Source organism: Homo sapiens, chromosome 2, assembly GCF_000001405.40.
Source record: "Homo sapiens chromosome 2, GRCh38.p14 Primary Assembly".
Taxonomy (NCBI): Eukaryota; Metazoa; Chordata; class Mammalia; order Primates; family Hominidae; genus Homo; species Homo sapiens.
In genome coordinates this window covers 11,995,155-12,019,410 of record NC_000002.12, presented here as the reverse complement: position 1 = coordinate 12,019,410, position 24,256 = coordinate 11,995,155, and the positions used below count along the sequence as shown (strand labels likewise).

Genomic DNA, 24,256 nt, shown 5'->3' with positions numbered 1-24,256 from the left:
ATATTCTATGCTTGATATATTTGTTGTAAAACTCAAAATGCATACATTTAAGCTACAACGGACATCAAGCAAAGCTTAAAATCTTGTTGGGTGGGGTAAGGTGGAATTTAAAGGGCAAGGAACACTAACCTACTATATGTCAGGCACGGAACTAGGAGCACCCTGCATGGTATGGCATGTAACCCATGACAAACATATAAGGGAGGCGGTTCCACGAACTCAGTAACTTCATTCCCTAGAATTTGAATAATAGCACGATCCTCATAGAGTAAAAGTAAAACTTCAGTTGAATTACATTTAAAAGAGTTTAATTGAGCAATAAATGATTTGCAAATCAGGCAGCCCTCAAAATCACAGTAGATTCAGAGACACTCCAGATATGCCTCGTGGTCAGAACAAATTTATAGACAAAAAAGGGAAGTGATATACAGAAATCGGCAGTGAGGTACAGAAACAGCTGGATTGGTTACAGGTTGGCATTTGCCATATTTAAACGTAGTTTAAACACTTAGCAATTGATGAGTGGTTGAAGTATGGCCACTGGGATTGGCCAAGACTCAGCTGTTGTTACAGGCACATACTCCTAAGTTAGGTTTTCAATCTTGTCTGCCTATGAAGTTAGGTTTCAGTTTATCCACAGGACCCGAACAGAGAAATACGGAGTCCTTCTCAGGCCATATTTACATTGCTTTAACAGTTTGTATATATACAAAGTGCCACACATATGTATGGCACCGGGAACAGAGCCTGCACACAGTAATCACAACATAATGACTCATTTCTTATCAGCTATCATCCTTTACAGATCATCATTTCATCGATGAAAAAGATGAGAGCCGTGCTCCTGCAGGGCAGCAGAGCTGAGACTTGATCCCAGGTTCTGAATCCAAATTCTAATCAATGCTACAGACCTGATTCTCTTACCTTTCCAAGAGAATATTCTAAATGGGTGGTTTAATCTCAGTTAGCAAAGGTACCTTAGGAAAGTTGTTGTTTTAAAGAGCAAAAAGATCTCAGCTTGAAGTCAAAGAACTTGTGCTCAAATGCTGGGTAACAGAGGCGGAAGAAGAGGTATTGAATTTAGGTGCCTTGTGGGGAACTTGAAACGCAGGTCTGAAGTTCAAAAGAAATTCAAGGCTAGAAATATATAATGAGTTATTCGTTTAGGGATATACGGTGAGTGAAGCCCTGGGAAAGCATGAGACAGACCAGAGAAAATGGGTAGAGTTTAAAGAGGAGGCATAAGAAAGAATACAGGGAAGAACAATGACCTGCTCCAGGGAAATAAAGATTTAGGAAATGTCAAACGCACCTTGATATCGTCAGTTTCAAGGCACCATGGCGATGCACAGCAGAGAACGAGCACTCCTATATAATTCTCCCGTATAATTGCATCTCACACTTTCTACATAATACAGATTTGCTCTGAGATAAGCTATCTAGGACTTTCAATTTCTCTGCTGGCTCAGATCCAGCTTGAAGTTGGCATTTCCCAGAGTGTTAACAACCATGTCTGTATTTTGGTTCTGTACCTATTAGGAGTTCTCTGAAAATAGCCTCTAGCAGCTTCTGATCTGTCTTTCTGAATGTGACGCTGCAAACACTTGCAGCTGAATCTAATTTTCAACACTTCGTTTCTTCTGAGGAGAATCAGAGTGGGGGTTCACACTGGTTCCTTCAAAGCCTAGAGAGTGGCACCCTTGTCACCTTATGGAAGTCACATCGCATCACAGAGCCGTGTTTGATGGTGGTTGGCAACAGGATGTTGCATACTTCTGTAGCGTAAAAGTTTTACACTGGTCAGCGTTAGTTCTCAAGTGGGAATTCAAGTCAAATAGCCATAAAAAAAAGAAAGAGAGATTACTAGCATGTAACATGAATTCAAGCCCTCCTAAAAGTTGTGTTGAGGATTGAGTGCATTAAGGAGAACCAAAGTAAAATGAGGGGAAAATAATACATAAGAAAACTAACATCCCATATGTGATAACTAAATATCTTAAAAGAGAAGGGTGGTAAATTCACTTTCCCTTCTATCTAACAAGGGCTATGAATATGCACTAGAATCCAGATGCTGTTCGGGCATTTGTGCACCTATTTTCTTTACTATTCATAACATTGAAATGAAAATTTTTACATTGTTGTGCAGATATAGGAACTGTTGTTCAGAAAGGTTAAGCGTCTCTCCACATCACACAGCAAGAAAGTATTAGAGTCAGGATTCACACACAGTTCTTCTGAATCTAATGTCCATTCTTTGCTGAGAGAACTTGCATTAAACTGCACAGAGATGAATCCCACACACCAATCATATCTTCTAGAATAAGGCAGTGTGCACACACTTGCAAGAGATTGAAATGACATGACAGAGTCAGGGTAAAGAGGCCAGTGTCAAAATGCAAAGACCTGTGAGTGGCCCACTTAACCTCAGGAGCAGAGAAGTCTGACCAGCTGCCTATCAGCTCTTGAAGATATGAAATGAGCAATAAGTATTCTCAAAAATATGGAAATACTGTGATGAGAGAGTATAGGAACAGGAGTGCTTGAAAAGTGAGGAGGAACTTGCTGCTGTGGAAGCGGAGTATCTGTGGGAATGAAATGGGAACTTAAGCTAGAAAGGAGTTAGGACTGGACCATGCAGAGCTGTGAGTGCCATGAACAGAGATTGGCTGTTACTTTGTAGGAAACAGAGGGACAGAGAGCCATTGAGGGTCGAAAGTGAGGGGTGTGTCTCAGATCTTGCACTGGGGCAGTGGAAAGGCTGGATGTGGAGGAAGAAGGAGCAGGAAGTCTGATTTGGAGGTTATTGGAAAGTGCTGCTTTTTGGCTGAACTGTTGCAGGCCCAGTAGAAAAGGAAGAAGGGGCAGAGAGGAGAGATACTGGCAGGAAGCAAGACGTGATGACTGACATGGGGCCTGGGAAGATGCAATGGTTGATGTTATGAACCAACCTGACTAGGCCACAGGGCACTCAGATATACGAATATTTCTCTGGGTGTTTCTGTGAGGCTGTTTTTGCATGAGATTAGTAAAGCAGATTGCCCTCCTTAATGTGGGCAATATTTGATCAGTTGAAGGCCTGAATAGAACAAAAGGGCTGAGCTTCCCGAAAGCAAGAGAATTCCTCCTGCCTAATGACCTTCACACTGAAACAGTGGATTTTTCCTCCCTTTGGACTTGAACTGAAATGTTTGCTCTTCCTGGGTCTCCAACTTGCCTACTCACCCTAAAGATCTTGGGGATGTGTTAGCATCCATAATCATGTGAGCTAATTCCTTTTAATAAATCTCTTTCTATAGACACAGACACATATCTGATTGGTTCTGTTTCTCTAGCGAACCCTGACTAATACAAGATGACATCCAAAGTCTAGCCCAGGTGAATTGGTAATTGGTGGTGGCAGTCCCAAGAGATCAGAGGACAAGTGGGTTCAGGGAAAGACAGGGAATTTAAATCAGACACAAGGTCTGAAATGGATAAGAACTAGGAATCTGTTGGATGCATGAGTCAAAAACCCAGGAGAGAGGTAGGGCATGGTGGTTCACGCCTGTAATCCCAGCACTTTGGGAGGCTGAGGTGAGCAGATCACTTGAGATCGGGAGTTCAAGCCCAGGCTGGCCAACATGGTGAAACCCCATCTCTACTAAAAAATATATAAATAAATAAATAACCAGGCATGGTGGCATACACTTGTAATCCCAGCTACTCAGGAGGCTGAGGCAGGGGGATTTCTTGAACCTGGGAAGCAGAGGTTGCAGTGAGCTGAGATTGTGCCACTGCACTCCAGCCTGGGCGACAGAGTGAGACTCCATCTCAAACAAACAAACCAGGAGAGAGGTCTGGGATGACTCCAGTGATTTGGGAGCCTTCAACAGGTGTGTAGCGGCTGATGGCATGGACAGAATCACCAGGAAGAGGTCTAGGGCAGAGCCGACTCTGCTCGGGACAGGCATCCCAGCCTCAAGCCAGGGGCACAATGCCTTTGGGAAAAGTGACCTTGAATATGTCTTTCCAGGCACACAGGATCTCCCTTCATTTACATCCCTGGAAACTGGAATGAAAACCCCTAAGTCATCTTCCAGAAAGATAATCTCTGAGATGACTCCACTGTTGTTCTCTTATCCTTTCCCTTGTTCCATATCACCAAAGTCTGCAGAGCCCCGACCCATTGGTCAGGATCAGCTCAGTCCTTCAAAACATTGTTTTTTTGTTTTGTTTTGTTTTTTGCTAGATTTTTAGCTCCCTTAGTGTGTCACTACTGAAACTGAACATCACCGTCATTCCAGAAAAAAAATTCATAGGTCTGTCCCTAACTAATCTATTTCCTGCCAGGGTGAAAGACTTCTCTCTTGGGATTCATTCTGATCATGGGGAATCCATCAGGCAAAGCCCAAGAAATTTGGAAAACCTAGACCAAAGTGACCTCCTCACCCACTTAGTGGAGATGATGAGCGTTCCCAGGATTTTGAAAAGGTCACTTCACTCCAGAGTTAAGTTTTGAAATAAACGTGGAGATGGAAATCTCCATTTAGCCCTTCCTACATCCATCCACTCCTGACAGGCCACCATTCCATTGCATGGATGACTGGAAAAGCCCTCTGCTCAGCAGAGCTAAGAATTAGACAAATGAGGCTACGATAGCCAAGGAGAAACAGGAGCAATTATAAGTGCACCTGGGCAAGGCCACTTGGGGCTTCCCACAGTGCTGTCACTGGCAGGAAGATGCCAACTCCTGCACTGTGTGTGTGTCCACGTGCACTATTTATATAGTCTAACATTTCCACTCAAAAGCAAAGGTGAATACAGGTCACAGTCTGGATCACGCCTGTGAAGCTGGGGTCTACCAGCTGTGCTATAGTTTAGCCTCCAATGAATTAAAGCTATTGGAGGCCAATGGACCGTTTCTTTTCCTTGATAAATGACTAGGAAAATGAATCATATTCGGGCTCACCCACCTCGAAGGCAGCTGTTCTTAGGATTAATTGGAAGGTTGGCCTACTTAAGCCTCCCATATTTCTCTGGTAAGGAAAAAATATCACAAAATCATGTGACCTTCATATTTGGTTCATGACTAGAAACAAATCTTCCTCAGCTGCTATTTCCAAGAATGCCTGTGGGGAAGTGAAACAGTGGCCCTGTTTACAGGGCACTAAATTGTGTGATTAACAAATGTGGTTGGACAGTCGGAGCAGAAAACATAGATGCCAACAGGAGCAGGAGCCAGAATTCTGCCCGTGGCTGCTGGGTTCCACTTCCCCAGACTGATGGCCTGGGTGTGTTTGGGGTGTGGTCTCTGTGGCAGTGACAGGGACACAGACACAGAAGAGAAGCCTGAGAAAAATGTCTGCAGAGAAGAGGAGTCACAGAAGGAAGGCGAATTCCAAGCCACTGAATGCATTTCCCTTTTCAAAGCTGGGGAAACTGAGGCAAAGTAGGGCAGTGACTTTCTCAAGATCGAACATCACTTCAAGTGATCCTTCTCCAACATTAGCAGTCAATTATAAACTAATCAAGGCTCACCCTACTCTTCTTTCTTTCCCCTCCAGCTTGCTCTCCCACACACCAGGAGTACGCAGCCACATGAGATGCACATGCATGGTAAAAACGTAATGAACGTGTGTTTCAGGAAAGAGATGTAGAATTGAATTGAATCAGCAATGGCACACTCATTGGCCATCCTTGGGCACTGCATGACATTGCATCTTTAGTATTTGTTTAAAAACATAAAGACTTTCTATAACACACCACCTAAACCAGAACTGAAACCTTTCCACCAATTAATATTTATCTTATGTTCCTCCATATGTCATCCTTCTGTCTCCTCTTCCCCACCAGGGGTAACCAACATCCTGAATCTGGGGTTCATCATAATATTGCATTTATGTGTGTATATAACAATGTATCATTTAGTTTTCTTAATCTTTAACACCACGTTATCATCAAACTCTATGTATCAGACTTATTTTTCCCATTTAGAATTATGTTGATATTATTTATCCATACTATGATTAAATTCATTCACTTTCACAATTATATAATATTTGTTTATGTCACTATTCCACAGTTTACTAATCCATTCCCCTGTCAGTATCTGTATGAGTTATTTGATTTTTTATTAGAAAGAGTACTGGCTGTAAATATTCTTATACACATCTTCTGGTACACATAAGCAAGATTTTCTCTTAGGTATATACCTACAAGGAAATTGCTGGATGCTAGCAAATGTGAATATTCAAATTTATAAAAGAATCACAGCCAGGCATGGTGTCACATACCTGTAGTCCCAGCTGCTTGGGAGGCTGAGGCAGGAGGATCCCTTGAGACAAGGAGTTTGAGGCCATAGTGTGCTATGATCATGCCTATGAAAAGCCACAGCACTCCAGCCTAGGCAAAACAGTGAGACCTAGTCTCTTAAAAACAAAAAAAGAATTGCAACTTGCTTTTCAAAATGATTACAGCAGTTTACATTTCCATAGCAAAGTAGCAGAAAAACCATTGTTCTACATTCTTTTCAAAACATAGAAATGTCAAACTTCTTAAATTTTGCCACTCAGATGCATGTAAGATGGCATCACACTGTGGAATCAGCTTCCATTTCCACATATTTATTCATCCTATGTGTCTCCTTTCCTGTGAAATGCCTGTTTGTGCCTTTGCTCATATTTATTGGTTAGATTTTTTCGTATTGATTTGAGGAGTTCTTAATACTAGGATTTTTTCAGTTACTGGTGTTACATTCATCATCTCCTACTTTGCAGCTGGTCTTTTCACTTTCTTTATGATGTCTTTTGAGGATCAAAACATCTCAATGTAGTATAATGTATCAGTCTTTAATTTTATGTTGGTATATTCAATTCTTACTTCTCAAACCTAGATCCCATTTTATAGGTTGCATTTCTTACCTTACTTGTATTTCAAAAACCTAGTGAGTGTGGTTTTAACATTATCCTCATTTCACAAATGAGGAAACTGAGTCTCAAAGGTAAGTGATTTTCCCAAGCTCACAAATCTAGAAGTGGCTATGTGGGGACAAGAGCCCAGGCCTTCTGGCCTTCAGAGGCCCACACTGCCTCTCTCTCCTCACACCAAACACTTATTTGGGGATCTTACATGCATTATGCAGAGTGCTGAGCCCTAGGGAGATAAGCAGGACATCATCTCCATCCTTGAAGAGTTTATATCAGAAGAACAGTCGCTCGCTAGCCAAGGCTACACATGAGACATAAGCTTGGACTTAAAGGATAAGTAGATGTTTTTCAACATGTGGGGAGATTTTGAAGGGGTAGGTACATTCTTGGAGAAGGAAGCAACATGAGCAAAGGTACGGAGGCATGAAAGAGCATGCCAAAGCAGTGAATAGCAAGCTGTGCCATGTGGGGCCAGGTGGGTCAACTTGTGGGAAAAGAGGGTGGACCCTTAGGCAAGGGTCAGACTATGAAGAAGCTTGTGTGTCATGCCAACTGGGAGGGACTTTAATTCATCTTTGACTTCAAAGCTCTGAGACGTGGCCTGCAAAGTAACCATATCTTGTAATATTCCCTAGAAGATTTTCTTCTAGAAGATTTCCACCTGCCAGGTAGGACATTCCTTTTATTGGTCCCAGGGTTTTCTTCTGAATGTAGCACTCTCCAATTTGCTAAGCAGAGCCTCATTCTCACTCAAGAAATCCGTAATATTCCATCCTCTTTACACTACTACCCTCAGTATCATCAACCATCCAATGAACACTAGCACAGTGTTGACCTCAGGTTACAGCCTGACACCACACAGCAAGGTGAAAAGAGCACAGGCTTAGGTTTGATGTTTTTCAGCATTGTCACTGATCATGGCTGCATTTCTCATGTCCCTGAGCCCACTTTTGCTGACTATCAGGAGGATTTAATGAGATATTGAACAGTTGAAGGCAAAGGAAACATCCAACAGTTATCAGGTGACTCCTCACCAGAAGTCCTAGATGGTACCCTTCAGGGATGAGTAATCTGGAAAGAAAAAGAAATTTCCTACAGAAACCAAATCCCAAGGCTTTGTGTGAGTCCTGAAAGAGAACCCCTGCACTAGGAGAGGTAGTGGACCTGGAACCCCTGTCTCTGAGTCATCCTCCCCAGAGGTCCTCCACCTGCAGATTTGAACTGGTCCATGCCAATTCCTGGGAATCACAAACAGGCCAGGGTGAGCTGCACTTGGCCCCTATGACAAGTCAAAAAGTCAGAGAAAGCAGTCCTCATCTTTCAGAATTCTTCTTCATTACAGAGCTATCCAGGCTTACTATGGTAACAGCAAGTATCAAAATAAAAACCAGCTTCATGTGGAGAAAGCAGATCAGATAGCTAACAGATTTCATAGGCCTTCAGCTGGGCATGGAGACACCCAAACAGGTGCCATCCCTGAGTTAAAATGACCTACAAAGGCACTTTTACCAACAATCCTTTGGATCTGCTTAGAAGAATCATCACACAGAAGTTAATGAGTAATGAGGAATTCTAACAGAGAACAAAGAGAAACTATTTTTGTTTTAAATGTACACGTGCACGTGTACAAGCACGTACCTCTGAAATTTGGAGAAAGGAAACTAGAAATCCAGACAGGTATGCCTAGCTCGGGAAAGTGCATAGCAAAGCAGAAATGGGGGGAAAAGAGGCAAAATACACTTGCTCCCTCGCACATAGGGAAGAGTTACACAGATTTATCAGCTACTAAGCCATCAAGCAAGGCTCAACAGATTCCAAAAGTGTCTATTTTGAACACTGGGTCCCATGAGCAGTTTTGCATTTGCTTCTGATGTGCGCCCCCTGAAGTTTCAATAGATCCAGTTTGGTGGTTTGTTTTTTTTTTCCCCACTTCAGATTCTCATAACATGTGCCAAGCATTTGGATATCACATTTGAATGTGTCAAAAGATTCTTCCAGAAAACTATCCCCCAACCAAGAGCTGCTGGCAGAGAGAAGCCTTCTAACATCTCCCATCAGGCGGGATTTATCTTAAGACCCCCAAATTCTGCTTCTCTTTAAATCTAGTAGTACTGATGGGAAAGTATATAATTTTTTTTAAATCACCTTCCTTCTGTATGACTTCCTGAGGGTTAGGAGGGTCAGTCCTATGCCAAGCTGTGCCAAGAATCTTCTATTTCCTTCATGAGACCTGCCTATCAAAGTGTATGACATCACTTTTTACCTGTTTCTTTGATTGCTTTGCTACTGGTGAATCTTTCTTAGCTTTTACAGCTTGTGTTCCCTCAGCTGGTCATTGAGAGAGATTTTGCAACCCACCTTCATCTAACTGCCATTGCCCCAAAGTCCCTGTATCAGCAAGAATTTATTAAAAAGCTTCTCTATTCCCAGCCTGTGCCAAAAAAGATCCATTTCCAGGAGCTTATTTTGATCTAGTTATTAAGTTACAAAGACATGGTCAAGAGCTACAATAATCAGGCTTAACAAATAGAAATAAAGAATGTCTCCTAGGGGAAATAATAAACTGCATCCCTCCTGCTAGTATAATAATAACAATCTGCACCTCGTAGATTTCAAAGTGCGTTTATGTTCACGATCTTGTCTGATCCTCATCCAGCCAATGATCTATGCAGGGTTAAAAAACAAACAAACAAACCAACAAAAAACCCATTGACTTGTCTGAGGTCAGAGGAAAGGGTGTGAGGAGACTGGAGGCAGAGAGAGAGGGACTGGGAGGAGATGAGATTATCCCACATGTAAAAATTCACCATGAGCTGACCACAGAGACCAATATAGGAAAATGCTGATTCATACAAAGTTAAACAGGGTGAATTATTAATTCATCAAATTAAATTTTTAAAAAATGGATTTGTATGTTTCAGTTAAAGAGTAAGTTCTATTGCATCCAATATGTTTTCCCACTGCCAACAAATTGATTTATATACAACATTTTCAGGAGTACACCTGTTGCATAAATTCTGGCTGCAAATGTATGTTCCAAAGCAAATGAAAGTCTATGATGTCTCTGTGGCAAAACAGGTCCCAGAAGTCCCAGGGGATCCTCTCACTAGCTCCAACATAACTGTTCTCTTCCTAGTACTGGATGCAGTCTACATTCTATTGCTAATTAGAGAAAATATTTACAGGGATCAGAGAGAAGTCATACAGATCAATGAAAGGCAGAAAACTCAGATTTATGATTTTTGAGATTCATGATTTATGATCAAAGTATGAAAGAATACATACAGCAAGACTTTGAGGTTCAAATTTCAACTGATCATCTTTGAAATGCAGATAATAGGATCAACAGATTCAGAAATATTATAAAAATATTCAAAATATCAACCGCTTGGAACACAGCAGATATTCAAATGTTTTAAGTATAGTGTTTATTATCCAGATAGAGGAGTATATTCGTTTTCTAGTGTTGCCACAAGCACCATAGACTGGTTGGATTAAACCAAAAGAAAATGTATTTTCTTACAATTCTGGAGGCTACAAGTCCACCATCAAAGTGTCAGCACGGCCGGTTTCTTCTGAGGCCTTTCTGTGGCTTGCAGATGGTAAATATACCACAAATTTTCTCTGAATGAGTCAACATGAATGAGGAAGCAGAAAGTGATATCTTTCTTTTATGAAATGAATTATGTCCCCAAAATTCATATGTCAAAGCCTTAACCCCCAATGTGACTGTGTTTGGAGACAGGGCCTTCACAGAGTTAATGAAGGTTATTAGTGTGGGGTCCTAGTCTGCTAGGACTGATGTCCTTATAAGAAGAGATTTGGGTACAGACATGCATGCCCACAAAGACAAGACCATGGGAAGACACAGCAATAAGATGGCTGTCTACAAACCAAGCAGGAACCAGCCCTGCCAGAAATTGGAAAGATGCAATCCTCGATCTTGGATTTTTAGCCAAAAATAAATTTCTGTTGTTGAATCCACCCCGTCTATAGTATTTTGTTATGGCCACCCTAACAAACGAATATACTTCCTTTCTAAGGAAATGGGTCAAAAACAAAATTTAAAAAAAAAAAAGGAAATCTAGATTTTTCACCTATTTGGTGACTTTAGGTTGTGTTCTCTACCATATGTCAAGAAGTTAAGAAGGAAAAAGTAAAAGTAGTTAAATGTGCAGCCTGGGCAACATGGCAAGACCCTATCTCTACAAAAAATTAAAAAACTAGCCAGGTGTGGTGGCATGCACCTGTCATCACAGCTACTCAGGAGACTGAAGTGGGAGAATCAGGAGCCCGGGAGGTCATGGCTGCAGCGAGCCATGTTTGTGCCATTGCATTCCAGCCTCAGCAACAGAGCAAGACCCTGTCTCAAAAAAAAAAAAAAAAAAGGAGTCCAATGTGTAGCCAATACGTTTGTATGTGGCTGTGTGTAGAGATGTGTGCTTAAAGCTAAAGGAGTTACTAAGATATCCGATATTCATCCTTTTTATATTTTCTAAAAAATATTCATTGAGAAGACTAGCCATGTGCTAGCCACCATGCTTATAATGTATTGTTTACTTTAATCTTGTCCTTTTCCTTATAATCCTACCAGTGTTAGGAATTCATAGCCCCATTTCCACTCTAGAAAAAAATAAAAGACTCACACTTTATGTGACTTACCCAAGGTCAGGGAACTGGCATGGGACAGAGCACAGTTTCCAACACAGGCCTCTCCAGCTTCAAAGACTGCATACACATCCAGCACATGTCCTTGCCTCTGTAATATAAGAAGAATTGCAAATGTTTCACACCACAGTATACCCAGATCTGTTCAAAACACATGTTAACTCATCTACGGCTCTGTGCCTAGCCCTTTAAGGTAGGTACTATTATTTTTTATAATCCCCATTTTACAGATGAAAAAATGTGTTGAGGAACTCAGCCTGGGTCCCACACTTCATCTTATTAAATTAACAAACAGCATGTGGCAGAGCTGATCTCTGCACCCAGCTCAAGGACAGTGTGATCATCACCTGCATGTGTTTGGCTTCCAAATGAGGGAAATGAACCCAATGGCCCTTTGCACCCTTTCCACCCCTGGGATTTTATTGCTCTGACTTCAACTGATCAACAAAACAGACAAGACTAAATGTTAACATGTTTTTAAACACATAGAGACTCTTCTCTTAGAGGGGAGGGAAATTAACCCTCCTTTAACACAAAATTTGACCTCAATTAACCAAAAATTTTTGTTCTGTGTTTTTACGGAGACCATTGTCATAGCTGAGAAACCCACCAATAGCTAAGCATATTTAGCCACAGAAACTCCTACAGTAACTATGGCTCTTGTGAGCCAGGCCTCATCATGGCTGTGTCAATTTCCCTCTGCACTGAGTGAGGGGTCCCGGAACACAAAGGCAGAGGCCGCCTGGTTCCAACCTTCGATTACGTCATCCTGATGGAATGTGGACACCATTGTGAGGACTTTCTGCTTAAGCCTTGTTTTATTTAAGTTTCTAACATTCTTGGAGACTTAAATCTCATCTACAGTTGCTTGGAATCCAGGCTTCAGTTGGATTATTGAAGGGATGCAGTAAACTTATCCTCCTAAAAGCTGAACTCAGCAAATGGTTAAGCCAAAGCTATCCTGCCCCAAGGCTCAAAGCAAATCTTTCAGCTCATTACATTTAAAAGATTGCTAGCAGTCAGCAGCCTTTAGATTTATGTAACACTAAGTTATACACAGTAAAAGCATGTGCTAGTTACATAACAATGTTCACATGAATGGTTAAAATGGGACAGGTAAATCAGATGCAGAAAACCAGGACAAAAAGGCTCCCAGCAGCTTTAAAATATATTGTTTAAATTCATAGCAAGGAGATAATTTTTTTCCTTTTCTCTCCAACAATGACAGACATTTACCGAGTGCTCACAAAAGGCCAGGCATTTCTGCAACACGGGTCAGTAGAAGGAGCAAAGCCTTTGGAGTGAGGTTCAAGTGTAATTGGTATGTGACACTTGGCAAGTTTCTCCAGCCTCAGTTTACCCATCCACAAAATGGAGCTAGCCATGCCTACCTTATAGAATCAATGTGAGAATTAAATGAATCATGTTGCCAAGTGTCTGACATAAAATATATGCTCAATAAAGACCAGTTTCTTAGTCTGCTGCTCTTAGCTGATTTGGTCTAATACCCTGCAAGCCTGGGAATGTGGTATTATTATAATCCCCGTTTACCAGGTAAGGAAACTGGAGGTCTCTGCCAGGGTGACGTTGCTGTCATGGGGCAGAGGGGCTTTAATACATAACTCATTAGAGGCATATCTCAATTTTGCAACTCACAAACCTGCAGTTTGTGCAGGTCTTTCAGCTTCTCTGCTTTTCCTCTGGCTGCCTGCCATTTGGCACTTTCCCTGCTAATTAGCACCTCGACCACAGTACAGCAGGGGAAATCCAAAAGGGTGAGCTTCGGTTAGTAGCTGAATCATGTGGTTTAAGAGCTCTAGGGGAGAGACTTTTCTTTTTTTAAGTTTGGTAAAGAAAGAGATGGCATCTAAGCAGTGACACGAATATTTTTAATTATATTTGGAATTCAGTTCTCTATTATCGTGGCCTCCCACTAATAGGTAATTGAGAATGGATCATTATATTTAAGAAGCTGTCTGATCTTCAAGGTGATTAAACTTTATTTATATGCTGAGACTTTAAGTGAGAATGTGTCTCAAAATCATATCAGAATTCCTATTCATCTTAGCTATTACCACCAAATTGCACTTCTCTGTATTTATGATATGAAATTCACATGTCAAAGTTCTAGCCCCTAATGTGACTGTATTTGAAGACAGAGCCTTTACAGGCTTAGTTAAGGTTATAAGTGTGGGGTCCTAGTCCAATAGGGCTGGTGTCCTTACAAGAAGAGGACATTTGGCTGGAGACATGCATGCCTCTGAGACAAGACCATGTGAAGACACAGCAATAAGATGGCCATCTACAAACCAAGGAAGTAGGTCTCAGGAAAAACCAGCCCTGCTGGCACCTTGATCTTGGACTGTCAGCCGCCTTTCTGCAAGAAAATAAATTTCTGTTGTTGCAGCCGCCCAGTCAGTGGTATTTTGTTATGGCAGCCCTAGCAAAGTAATATACTTCCTTTCTAAGGAAATTAGTCAAAAAAAAAGGAAACCTCTCTGTCCCTTCATTTTCTAACCTGTAAAATCAGGAAAATATTAGTTCCTCATTCACAAGGGCATTGTGAGGACAAAATACATTATCATTTAGTATTCAGAATAGTACCAGAAATATTCATAAGCACTTTAAAAGTGTTTTATTATTGTCAATATCGTTACCACTAATAGCACTACCATCACGTCTACCACCACCGAGAAACCTAGATTGTAACATACAAAAGACATGGAGCATTCTGGGACAATGGACGGAAAATTACGTGGACAGAATCATTTGCAATTATTGCTCCCCAGGTCCAGACTCACCTGGGCATCCCTTCCCAGCCCAGGTCCCAGGTGCCTGGCTTCCATCCTGACCCTACGGGACAGTGGCAAGTTACTCACTACGAATCCACATCAGGCTTCACCAGGCCTCAATGAGGGCCAGGCTGACTGCCAACCCCAGGGAGTTTGTTCTAGAAGAATTTACCTATAAAACATGAGTAAGGTCCATCTCATGAGCCCTCATTTCCTTCTCTAAGGTTTACATCAAGGACTGAAACATTCGCTCAGTGACAAACCCCTTCCCTATCCACCAGCCTACGGTCTCATCCCAAATTCCCCAAAGTATAATCCCAAAGCAGTCTGACCTGGATGTTTTTCTCAAAGTCTCTGCTATTCAGTCCTATCATGGACACCACATTAAATACAGTTTCCAAGTTTTATACAATTAAAAGATAACACTTTAATAATGAGAAGTCGACAGTGGTTATGAGTTTTGTTAATATTGCATTTAAGATTCTGCAGGAATCTTAAATTTACCACAGAAACCAAATAGACTTGTCATCCAGAAATTATAACTCTGGCGGTGTTTTTGTAACTATGCGCAAGGCTGCATGCAGTGGGATGTTCCAACTCTTTTTTTTTTTTTTTTTTTTTTTTTGAGACAGAGTCTCACTCTGTCACCCAGGCTGGAGTGCAGTGGCCCGATCTTGGCTCACTGCAACCTCCGCTTTCCAGGTTCAAGTGATTCTCCTGCCTCGGCCTCCCAAGTAGCTGAGATTACAGGCATGTGCTACCATGCCCGGCTAATTTTTTTGTATTTTTAGTAGAGTTGAGGATTCACCACATTGGCCAAGCTGGTCTCAAACTCCTGACCTCAAATGATCCGCCTGCCTCGGCCTCCCAAAGTGCTGGGATTACAAGTGTGAGCCACTGTGCCCAGCCCATTCCAACTCTTTCTAAGAAACAGTTATCAAAAATCTGTTTGTTTCTTCTGAAATATAAAAACAGCAATTTGCTATTTTTATCAATTCCATCTTTTCTGGGCCTATCACAGTCAATAATTTGAACTGGGGTAAAAATTAGAGGCTTCTTTCATATTCAAATTTTACATGCTCAAAATCCTATCCTTCAGCAAAAAGTATCTTTAAAATAGAAAAGAACTTGTTGGTCTGGGGCACAGGAATATCATTCAAACCCTTAAATTCAAAATAACTTATGTTTCTCCAAGTTCCAGTTATGTTTCAAAATAAACAAAGATATCTTATTCTAAATTAGTTTCACCTAACTTTGAAACACGCCTGCTAAATTTCTCAAATAACATATTTTATGTGTTTCTGGGTATTGAAAAATGCCAGAAAACCAGTCCAAGGATTAAGAAGGGCTCATTGATCTGGCTTGTGAGAGAAAATAAATAATGACCTTTTCTACCTCCAGCAAATGGAAAACTCTCCAAAATTCCTCAGGCACCAGTTTCATAGCCATCAAAACTGTCTGATTCAGTTATTTTTGGAGTGCAACTTACATGCATGAGCAAGGAATTGCATTCTTCTTAGTGAATATACACACTCGTGTATTATTTGACTGACTCCGTGGCTTGCCTGTTAGTAAAGGAGATGTTTCTGAATAAAACAAAAGCCTGGTATGTGAGAGTTAGAAGGGCCCATGAGTAGAGTTTTATCTCATGATACTATTTGCAAAGCTCAGAGAGGTGAGGAGCTCACACTGGTTCACATGGCAATTCAGTCTCAGTGAGGACTGGAATCTCAGCATCCTGTCCCTGCAGCAGGGCCTTTTTAAGACACTGGGCAGCTGGGACCCACAGCACTGGGAGGAGAAATGTCCACGCATTCCTTTTTCCCACCCAGGGTCCTTATGGAACACAAGTTTGGTGGTTTGGTGGGAAGATCACAGACTTCAAAACCAAACCAACTCAGGTTCAAATCCAATTCGGTCGTTTACTGTAAACTCTTAATACTGTTGAGTTTCTTTATCTTACAGTGGGAATGTAGGGGTTGAGAGTGAGAAACGTTCAGAGCCAGCAAAGTGACTGGCACATAAAAGGTTCTCAGTGGTAGTCAAGATAACTATTATCTGTCTATAAACTAATGTGTGGTGTGTATTTGTGTGTGTGTGGGTTTGTGTGTGTGTCTAAGTGTCTTAGTCCATTTGGGCTGCTTTAACAAAATATCATAGACTGGGTGGCTTATAAACAACAGAAATTTATTCTCACAGCTCTCAAGACTGGGAAGTCCAAAATCAAGGCAGAGTTGGTGTCTGGTGAGGGTCTACTTTCTCTCTCACAGGCAGTGCCTTCTTGCTGTGTCCTCACATGGTGGGAGGGGTGAACGGGCTCCCATGAGCCTATTTTATAAAGGCATTAATTCCATTCATAAGACTCCACCCTCATGACCTAATCACCTCCCAAAGGCCTCACCTCCTAATACCATTACCTTGGGGGTTAGGATTTCAACATATGAATTTTGAGAGGACATAAACGTTTAGTTCATTGCAGTATGTACATTAGATACAGTTGACATATAGAGATAACCTAACATGTATATTTAATGTGTGCATATAGATAGATACATAGACAGACAGATGGATGGATATATTAGATAGATGGATAGATAGGTGATAGATAAGATGATAGATAGGATGCATGAATAGATAGACTGATAGATGGATAGATGGATAGATAGATAGATAGATAGATAGATAGATAGATAGATAGACAGACAGACAGTGACCCATTCCTATACTAATACGTAATTCCTATACTCTTATAATCTTGGAGCAGAGATTAAAAAGCTAACAGGTCCCTACAACGCAACTTAATTCATTCAATCTCCTTTTGGATAATCTGTGAAATGCCTCAATGTGTAATCAGACTAAAGTTACAAGAGGTGCTAACAGAACATACCCTTCCAAACAGTTTCCTGACAGTTGCGGAAGGTAAAAAGACCACAACAGGAAGAGGAAGGGAAGTAAGGAAGGTGAAGAGAAAGGGCAGGAGGAAACAGAGTGAACAGAAGGTCCTGAGGTCAAGGATGAGGTGAAGGGTGTCTGTAAATCTGCCCAATCATCCAGGAGGCAGTCAACTGTCCTCACTTTCAGCCCCACTGGGCCAGTGGACTCTTATTCCAATTCTATAGTTATTTGAAGCCCCAAAAGAGTCTGTTCATGTATGTCTTCATTCATTCATTTGCTCATGTCATAAATAATATATCTTAGATTTTGGGGAAACTCCAAAATGGTGAAACCTCATAAATGTGAAAGCCAAGAATCACTCTTTCTCAATCATAGGGGGCCAAACTCTATTAATGCTGAATTGTATCACTCCCTAATCACCATTGCTCCCAGCCTACTCTTCTCCATTCACTCTATTTTGGTTACTAAATTTTGTAATCAAATGCAGAGATCCAATCTCCGTGACATACTTGGCATTCTTTAAAGAGCATCCAAATATTGAGTGAGAATTTTTTTCATAACTCTGGACACCAAAAAGCATCCAACACAAGATAATCAGGTACCCTGCATAAGTCAACTCTCTTTGGCAAATTGAGAAATGGTAGAAATTCACACCAATATACATGGATTACAAATACTCCAGGAGATTCTTTTGTTGTAGGTAGATGTCAAACCCAAATGGAAAAATGTTCTCTCTTCATGAAATAAGACATTGGAAAAATGAGCTGTTTATAATTCCTGGTTTTATTTAAGTCTTTTTATTCATATCTGACACTCTACTTGCCACCCTTATGATTTTTGTCTAAACTTGTCCAAATCCTCCTCATCCCTCAAGACCCACCTCAGATACCATCTTTTCCAGGAAGCCTCCCCATGCTTATCCCCAGCCGGAAATGATCTTACTGTCCTTGAAAGTCCCAGAGAGCACTTCATCTCATTTCTTCTGAAATTGTCATATAATTATTATGAAACCCATCTTCTGTCTCCTACAAGGCTGGGAGTTGTTTGTAAGCCACCCTTTCTCACCCGCCACCACTTCGCTCCACTACCATCCAACCTACACTTTGTTGTGCTTTTCCTGACTCCAATTGTCTCTTCTGCATGGAATCCCTTTGCATCTATTGCCATCCTTCCCTCATCCTACCCTCAAGTGTATTCCCAATAATACTATCACTACTACTTCCCTAGCTCCCCTTCAAACCATGAGCTCTTTAAGGACTAGGACTGTGACTTCCATATGTGTCCCCAGCTCCTAGTGTAGGGCCTAGAATGGCACATGAAAAATTTGGTTGAATAAAGGCACAACCTTGTCCAGTTCTCCTTAGCTGTCCCTTATCCAAAAGCTCTAGAACCTGATTGCCTGCATTCTCATTCCATACCGTACAGCACTGTAACCTTGGGCAAATTATTCAACCCCTCTGACATCTGAGTTCCTTCTTCTGTAAAACAGGCTGAATAATAGGACCTATCTTACAGGATTGTTATCAGAATTGAATTACCTATTTTAAATGTTTGATAGGCTTTCTGAAACATGGAAATTAATAACTATTTTCAATACATGCCTTTGAATAAACAAAAGAATAGATGCTTAATGTTTCTAGAAACATTTAAACTTTGGGATAGCTCTTTTACATCTTCTCCCTACAGAGATTAACAGCTAAATTTGAGAAATTTCACTCAGAAATTATATTCTCTGCTCCAGTGTATCAATAAGACTCCTAGTAATGGCTGGAGTGTGCCAAGTTTAGGATGCTGTGTCCACATATAAAGCTTCATCTCCATTAGATTGATGTCTACCATAGGAGCAAAAACAGATGTGGTGATGCCATGACCATTCCCAGCAGGCCACTGAACTCTTCCTTGGATCACATTATGGCAGCCCCTCTAAGTCTATCTCAACATATAGACCTTATATTCCATTTTGCCTTTTGGCTTTATTCTTAGCAGAAAAGGCTAAGAGCCTGGGACCAAATGTCTATCTGGTGAAACTTTGGAAACCACTTTGGCAGGGAAAAGAGCAGCTCTTTAGGACCAAAGAGGAACTCAGAACTTAGCTCTCATTTTCTTTCCTCACAGACATCCCCTCTGCTCAGATGAACATCACAGGCATCAGCCACTAACATGGCCACTGGGCAGAGTTTGCCATTTTTGAAAACAAACCATTTCATCCCTGGGCTCCTGTTATTATTAGAAATCTTCCTCCCTCAAAATCCCACCTATTTTTGCCCTCTGGAGTTGCACAAGCTGAATATACCCCCAACCTGGCTCTGTAAATGTCAGGAGACATGGCCAAGCTCTTCCTAAGACTTTTGTACCCTGGCTAAATATTCCTGATTTCTTCAGCCACTCTTCATGTGAGAGAATTCAGCCAGATTGAGAACTGCTTGAGACAGGATCTGTGCAAGATCTACTTTGGTATCCCAACATAAAAGCGCAATAAAAATATTTGTCAAACAAAAGATAAATAATTAAATACTTTTGCAAAGCTTCTCACCAATATATCTATTCAACAAATGGGCATACAGCACTAATTACCATTACCATCTTATCCAGCCAAGAGGGATGCCAAGTTGAGTAAGACACAGTCCATGCCCCAAGGGAATCTATGGCTCAGAGAGGTATTGCCTGTAAATGACTGGTATGGATTAATCTACAGCATGTTCTGTAGTACAAAACACAAGATGTGTAGATGTCCTTGAAGGTCTTGAGGGAGGAGCAGCAATTCCCCAAGGGACGGATAGGAAAAGGCATCCCAAAGTGACCACCCACCCAGCGTGGGTAAAGCCTCAATGGTCCAGGTTAGTAAGACCTATTTCGTTTTAAACTGTAGCCATTACAATTGGAACACAACACTCAAGTTAGGCCCTTGGGCATGCAAATCACACAAGAAATAACATTTCTTCTAAAAAAAAAAAAAAAAACCACAATTTTTTAAATAAAGCAACTTACTTTTGAATTTGCTGTTTTGGTAGCCTTGTCACATGGTTTGTGTATAGAGAGCACATAGTCATCTCAAACCACTGAGACACAAATTTAACTACTTCTCTTCACCAAACCCCAAGCCTGCCAAGCTACACTGGCACAATGGATTAATTTTTATATTTTTACTTAAATACAAGAGTTTTGCATTTCCCACAATTAAATTTCATTTCATCCCCCTGGCCTGCACACCAACCACCACCACTGAACTGTGTGTCAAGCTTCTCCTCTGTGAAGAATACAGGGTATTGAGATTCTGCACTGTTTGGTTAGGAAATTTGGGAGGAAACAAAATGGAATTTTGGTGAGGTCAGCATTCCAAAAGCAGCTGTCATTTCTGATCTCTTCATGGTATACTGAAATCAAGTTCCCACAAACATTATTATGATCGTAGGGAAGAAAACCATCTAGGTGTGATGGCCACATCTCTGCATTCCTGGATCAGTCCCAACTTCTAATGTTCTCCTGCTTCATTGTCTAAAAAAGTCACCAAAAGTCCTAGAAGTTCTGGTATTTTATTGTCTATATTTACTACATCTCGCAGGCTGTCATTACTTCATATGTTCCCAGTGTCCTTTGTCAGAAAATGCATCCTCAATGTTCTCTGAAATGAGCTTTGAAGATTTGAGTGATGCTACATGAAAAGTCCCTTTAAGTACTGGTGATGCTCAGAGCTAGAAAGGAACCAGACATGTTGGCAGCTGCATTCCAGCCCCACACCCTCAGTGGGTTTACAAGAGAAAGTGGCCACGTCATCTGATAGGTTTCCTGCTTCACTGCAAAATATGTCTGAAGTTTCTTATTCTGTTTCTACATGGTTTGGGCAGGGATTGTTTAGTAGATAATGGCAAGAGGAGATGGTAAATAACATTTATTATCTCTATTCTATGTTACAGTATTTTATATACATAGGCCCATTTAATCCTCATAATTTTGAGGTGAATATGATCATCCCCATTTTACAGACAAAGAATACTACAGCTTAAAGAGTTATAGTAACTTCCCCAGTCATACAGATCCCACGTCTGCTGGGCTTTGAAGTTCATATTCTCTCAATATACCATATACTTGCTAATTATAGAAAATTCGAATTTGAAACAAATCTTGGAGGAGATCTACTTCAACCACTTATTTTTCAGATGTGTAAGTTGAAGCCCAGGGAGTGCTAGGGATGATGGCAACACGTTAGAGTTCATTCACGGCAGGACCACAACTGGAACCCAGTTCTCCTGCAACCCAGTCCCACGCCCTTTTTTTTTTTTTCCAGAGCACACAAGTTTTCTCTGAATTCTAACAAAATATTCACTGAACCAGGAAGCCACACAGTGATTGCCTGATAAGATGGTGGGATGGACAATTTGGGGAAGAAAAAGTGAAGTAATCTTGAAGAATTCCATCTCATATACAAAATTATGAACCAGAGGTTACTTTCTTGCTTTATAAATCCTCACTTCCATAGGGTAATTGGGCAGTAAAAATTCTCTCATGTAAAATAACCTAATGGCAAAATACACATATCAGAAGAACTATTTAAAAAATTGTTTGAGAAACAATGTGTAAATAACAAAAACAAGTTCCTTACAAACAATGGAAATGTTACAGCATGGTGTATTAGTCCATTTTCATGCCACAGATAAAGATATAATTTATAAAAAAAAAAGACATTTAATGGATTCACACTTCCAAGTGGCTAGGGAAGCCTCAGAATCATGATGGAAGGTGAAAGGCACATCTTACTTGGTAGCAGACAAGAGAGTAGTGAGAAACAAGTGAAAGGGGAAACCCCTTATAAAATCATCTGCTCTTGTGAGACTTATTCACTATGGCAAGAACAGTATGGGGGAAACCACCCCCATGATTCAATTATCTCCCACTGGGTCCCTCCCACAACATGTGGGAATTATGGGAGCTACACTTCAACATGAGATTTGGGTGGGGACACTGTCAAACCATATCACATGAAAAAATTCCAAGAAGTGTTTTCCTTCTCTAGCTGACCAAAGTGGGAGAGTTTGGAGGTGATGCTCTAAGGAAGAGTATAATTTTTACTTAAATGAATTTTTAAACATTTAGTGTGCTCATGGAAATGCCACTTATAATTAATTAGCAAATAAGAATTTAGAAAATATGAATAGTCCATGGAGTTCACCTACTTTTATAGCAAGGCATTTGCCTTTAAAGTGATCATTGGTAGTTAAAGTCACTGGATTAGATTTGCTCCCAATAAGCCAAGAGGCATTTATAATGCTCTTCTCTCCATAAGTAAGCCACAATAAAAACTAGGTCACATATGCTCTTTGAAAATAATGACTAACATCTGCATAGCCCAGTTGTGGCTTAGAGTGAATTCATATCCATTAACTCATTTGATGCACACAAAAATTTGTGAGGCAGATATGATTTCCTTGTCAAGGCTCAAAGTTGGAATGACTTGGTCAAAGTTATACAATGAATATCAAGGCCCCTGCCCTCCCTCTAACACCCCCCAACACACCATCAACTAGAACTGTAACTACCCACAAAATTTCTGTGAGTTCAGAATTCCTTGGAACCCAATTAACCAGAATCTACAAATGTCTGGCTTTGTTTATTTGTTTATTTATTTTGTTGGTTTTTTGTGGGAAAAGGAGGTAGGGCTGGGAAACACCCTATTTTTAAGATAGAAAAAAGCATAATAAGTACTACTCTAATTGGTGTTCAGCTACTCTGATCTCCCACATTATCCTGGATAATTTTTCTGTTGTTTCCAGTAAGAACCTAAAGTCAAGATATTCAATCATTAAAAAACAACATCAGTTCTGTTTAACATAGTGTTCCATTTGGTTGTGAATTTGGCTGCAATATTTTCTAAAGATGTTTATTTAAAAGGATGAAACAGGAGACTGGGTGCAGTGGCTCATGCTTGTAATCCCAGCACTTTGGGAGGCCGAGCCGGGCGGATCACAAGGTCAGGAGATCGAGACCATCCTGGCTAACACGGTGAAACCCCGTCTCTACTAAAAACATAAAAAAAATTAGCCGGGCGTGGTGGCGGGCGCCTGTAGTCCCAGCTACTTGGGAGGCTAAGTAAGGCAGGAGAATGACGTGAACCCAGAAGGTGGAGATTGCAGTGAGCCAAGATCACGCCACTGCACTCCAGCCTGGACGACAGAGCGAGACTCTGTCTCAAAATAAATAAATAAATAAAAATAAATGAATAAAATAATTTAAAAAGTGTGAAACAGGAAAGATTTTTCTGGTGAACCAGAAAAGCAAACTAATGAGAAGTTTTGTTCATGAACTACTGTATCACCACTGCAGAAAGATGATCTTTGAGTCTTTCTATTGACAAATATTGGCAAGGTTCTCTTTCACACTTGCTCTGCTATTTCCTTTCCTCAGGGATGATAACCACAGCCAGGAAATGAGATGTCAACAAGGAATTTTCAAGTTTTTATACATATTTGTGCTTAAAGTTAGAATTTAGGCATATAAAACTCAGGGTTGGAAGGAAGATTCCTCTGTCAGGTAGGATTATGCAGAACCTTCATGGGAGATGTAGGAGAGGTCAAGAATATTCCCAAAGAGGAGGTTCTTCAGGCCTGCATTTTTTTGGTGGAAGACAGCCAGCTTGAGCTAGTGTGGCTCCAGAGAGTGTCTGAAAGCAAAACTTCCAGTGAGAGTTGGGGGACTTGAAGTCTACACTGGAAATGAAAATGTTATAAGAGGAGACTGTTGGAATTGAAAACAGACTTATTTCCAAGAGTTTCTGCACGTAAATCACAGTATTTTTTTTTTACAAGGAAAGAAAGATATTCTTACTAAAATGAAAGTGATTTGATATATGATCCTCAGAAGCAAATACTCCTCAGGCTATTAAAGCAATAGACTTGAGAGAATGTGATATTACATCTAAAAAAATCATAGATGAAGAAACATATCATGAAGCTTGGGTCTATACAGTATCAACTTCGAAATAACAGTCAGTCAAGTAACCAA

The 24,256-nt window shown here is 40.7% G+C and overlaps 1 long non-coding RNA gene across 3 annotated transcripts in view, besides 5 other annotated features; it reads right to left on the bottom strand.

The window, feature by feature from the left end:
* Window positions 1-12,295, bottom strand: part of MIR3681HG (MIR3681 host gene) — a 571,233-nt gene extending 558,938 nt beyond the window's left edge. For all 3 annotated transcript variants that reach the window (NR_110196.1, NR_110197.1, NR_110198.1), the window contains exons 1-2: window positions 12,184-12,295; window positions 11,568-11,664 (exon numbers count right to left, since the gene is read on the bottom strand). This is a non-coding gene — a long non-coding RNA (MIR3681 host gene). The remainder of the gene's footprint in view (window positions 1-11,567; window positions 11,665-12,183) is intronic.
* Window positions 10,733-10,782: an enhancer, noted in NCBI's record as "active region_15334". NCBI's record gives its function as "activates an Ori minimal core promoter by ATAC-STARR-seq in GM12878 lymphoblastoid cells {active_cell/tissue: GM12878}" and the evidence as "EXISTENCE:reporter gene assay evidence [ECO:0000049][PMID:35858748]".
* Window positions 12,214-12,508: an enhancer, noted in NCBI's record as "tiled region #524; HepG2 Activating non-DNase unmatched - State 7:EnhWF". NCBI's record gives its function as "activates a minimal TATA promoter and a strong SV40 promoter by Sharpr-MPRA in HepG2 cells {active_cell/tissue: HepG2}" and the evidence as "EXISTENCE:reporter gene assay evidence [ECO:0000049][PMID:27701403]".
* Window positions 13,017-13,066: an enhancer, noted in NCBI's record as "active region_15333". NCBI's record gives its function as "activates an Ori minimal core promoter by ATAC-STARR-seq in GM12878 lymphoblastoid cells {active_cell/tissue: GM12878}" and the evidence as "EXISTENCE:reporter gene assay evidence [ECO:0000049][PMID:35858748]".
* Window positions 20,189-20,238: an enhancer, noted in NCBI's record as "active region_15332". NCBI's record gives its function as "activates an Ori minimal core promoter by ATAC-STARR-seq in GM12878 lymphoblastoid cells {active_cell/tissue: GM12878}" and the evidence as "EXISTENCE:reporter gene assay evidence [ECO:0000049][PMID:35858748]".
* Window positions 21,992-22,081: a silencer, noted in NCBI's record as "silent region_11180". NCBI's record gives its function as "represses an Ori minimal core promoter by ATAC-STARR-seq in GM12878 lymphoblastoid cells {active_cell/tissue: GM12878}" and the evidence as "EXISTENCE:reporter gene assay evidence [ECO:0000049][PMID:35858748]".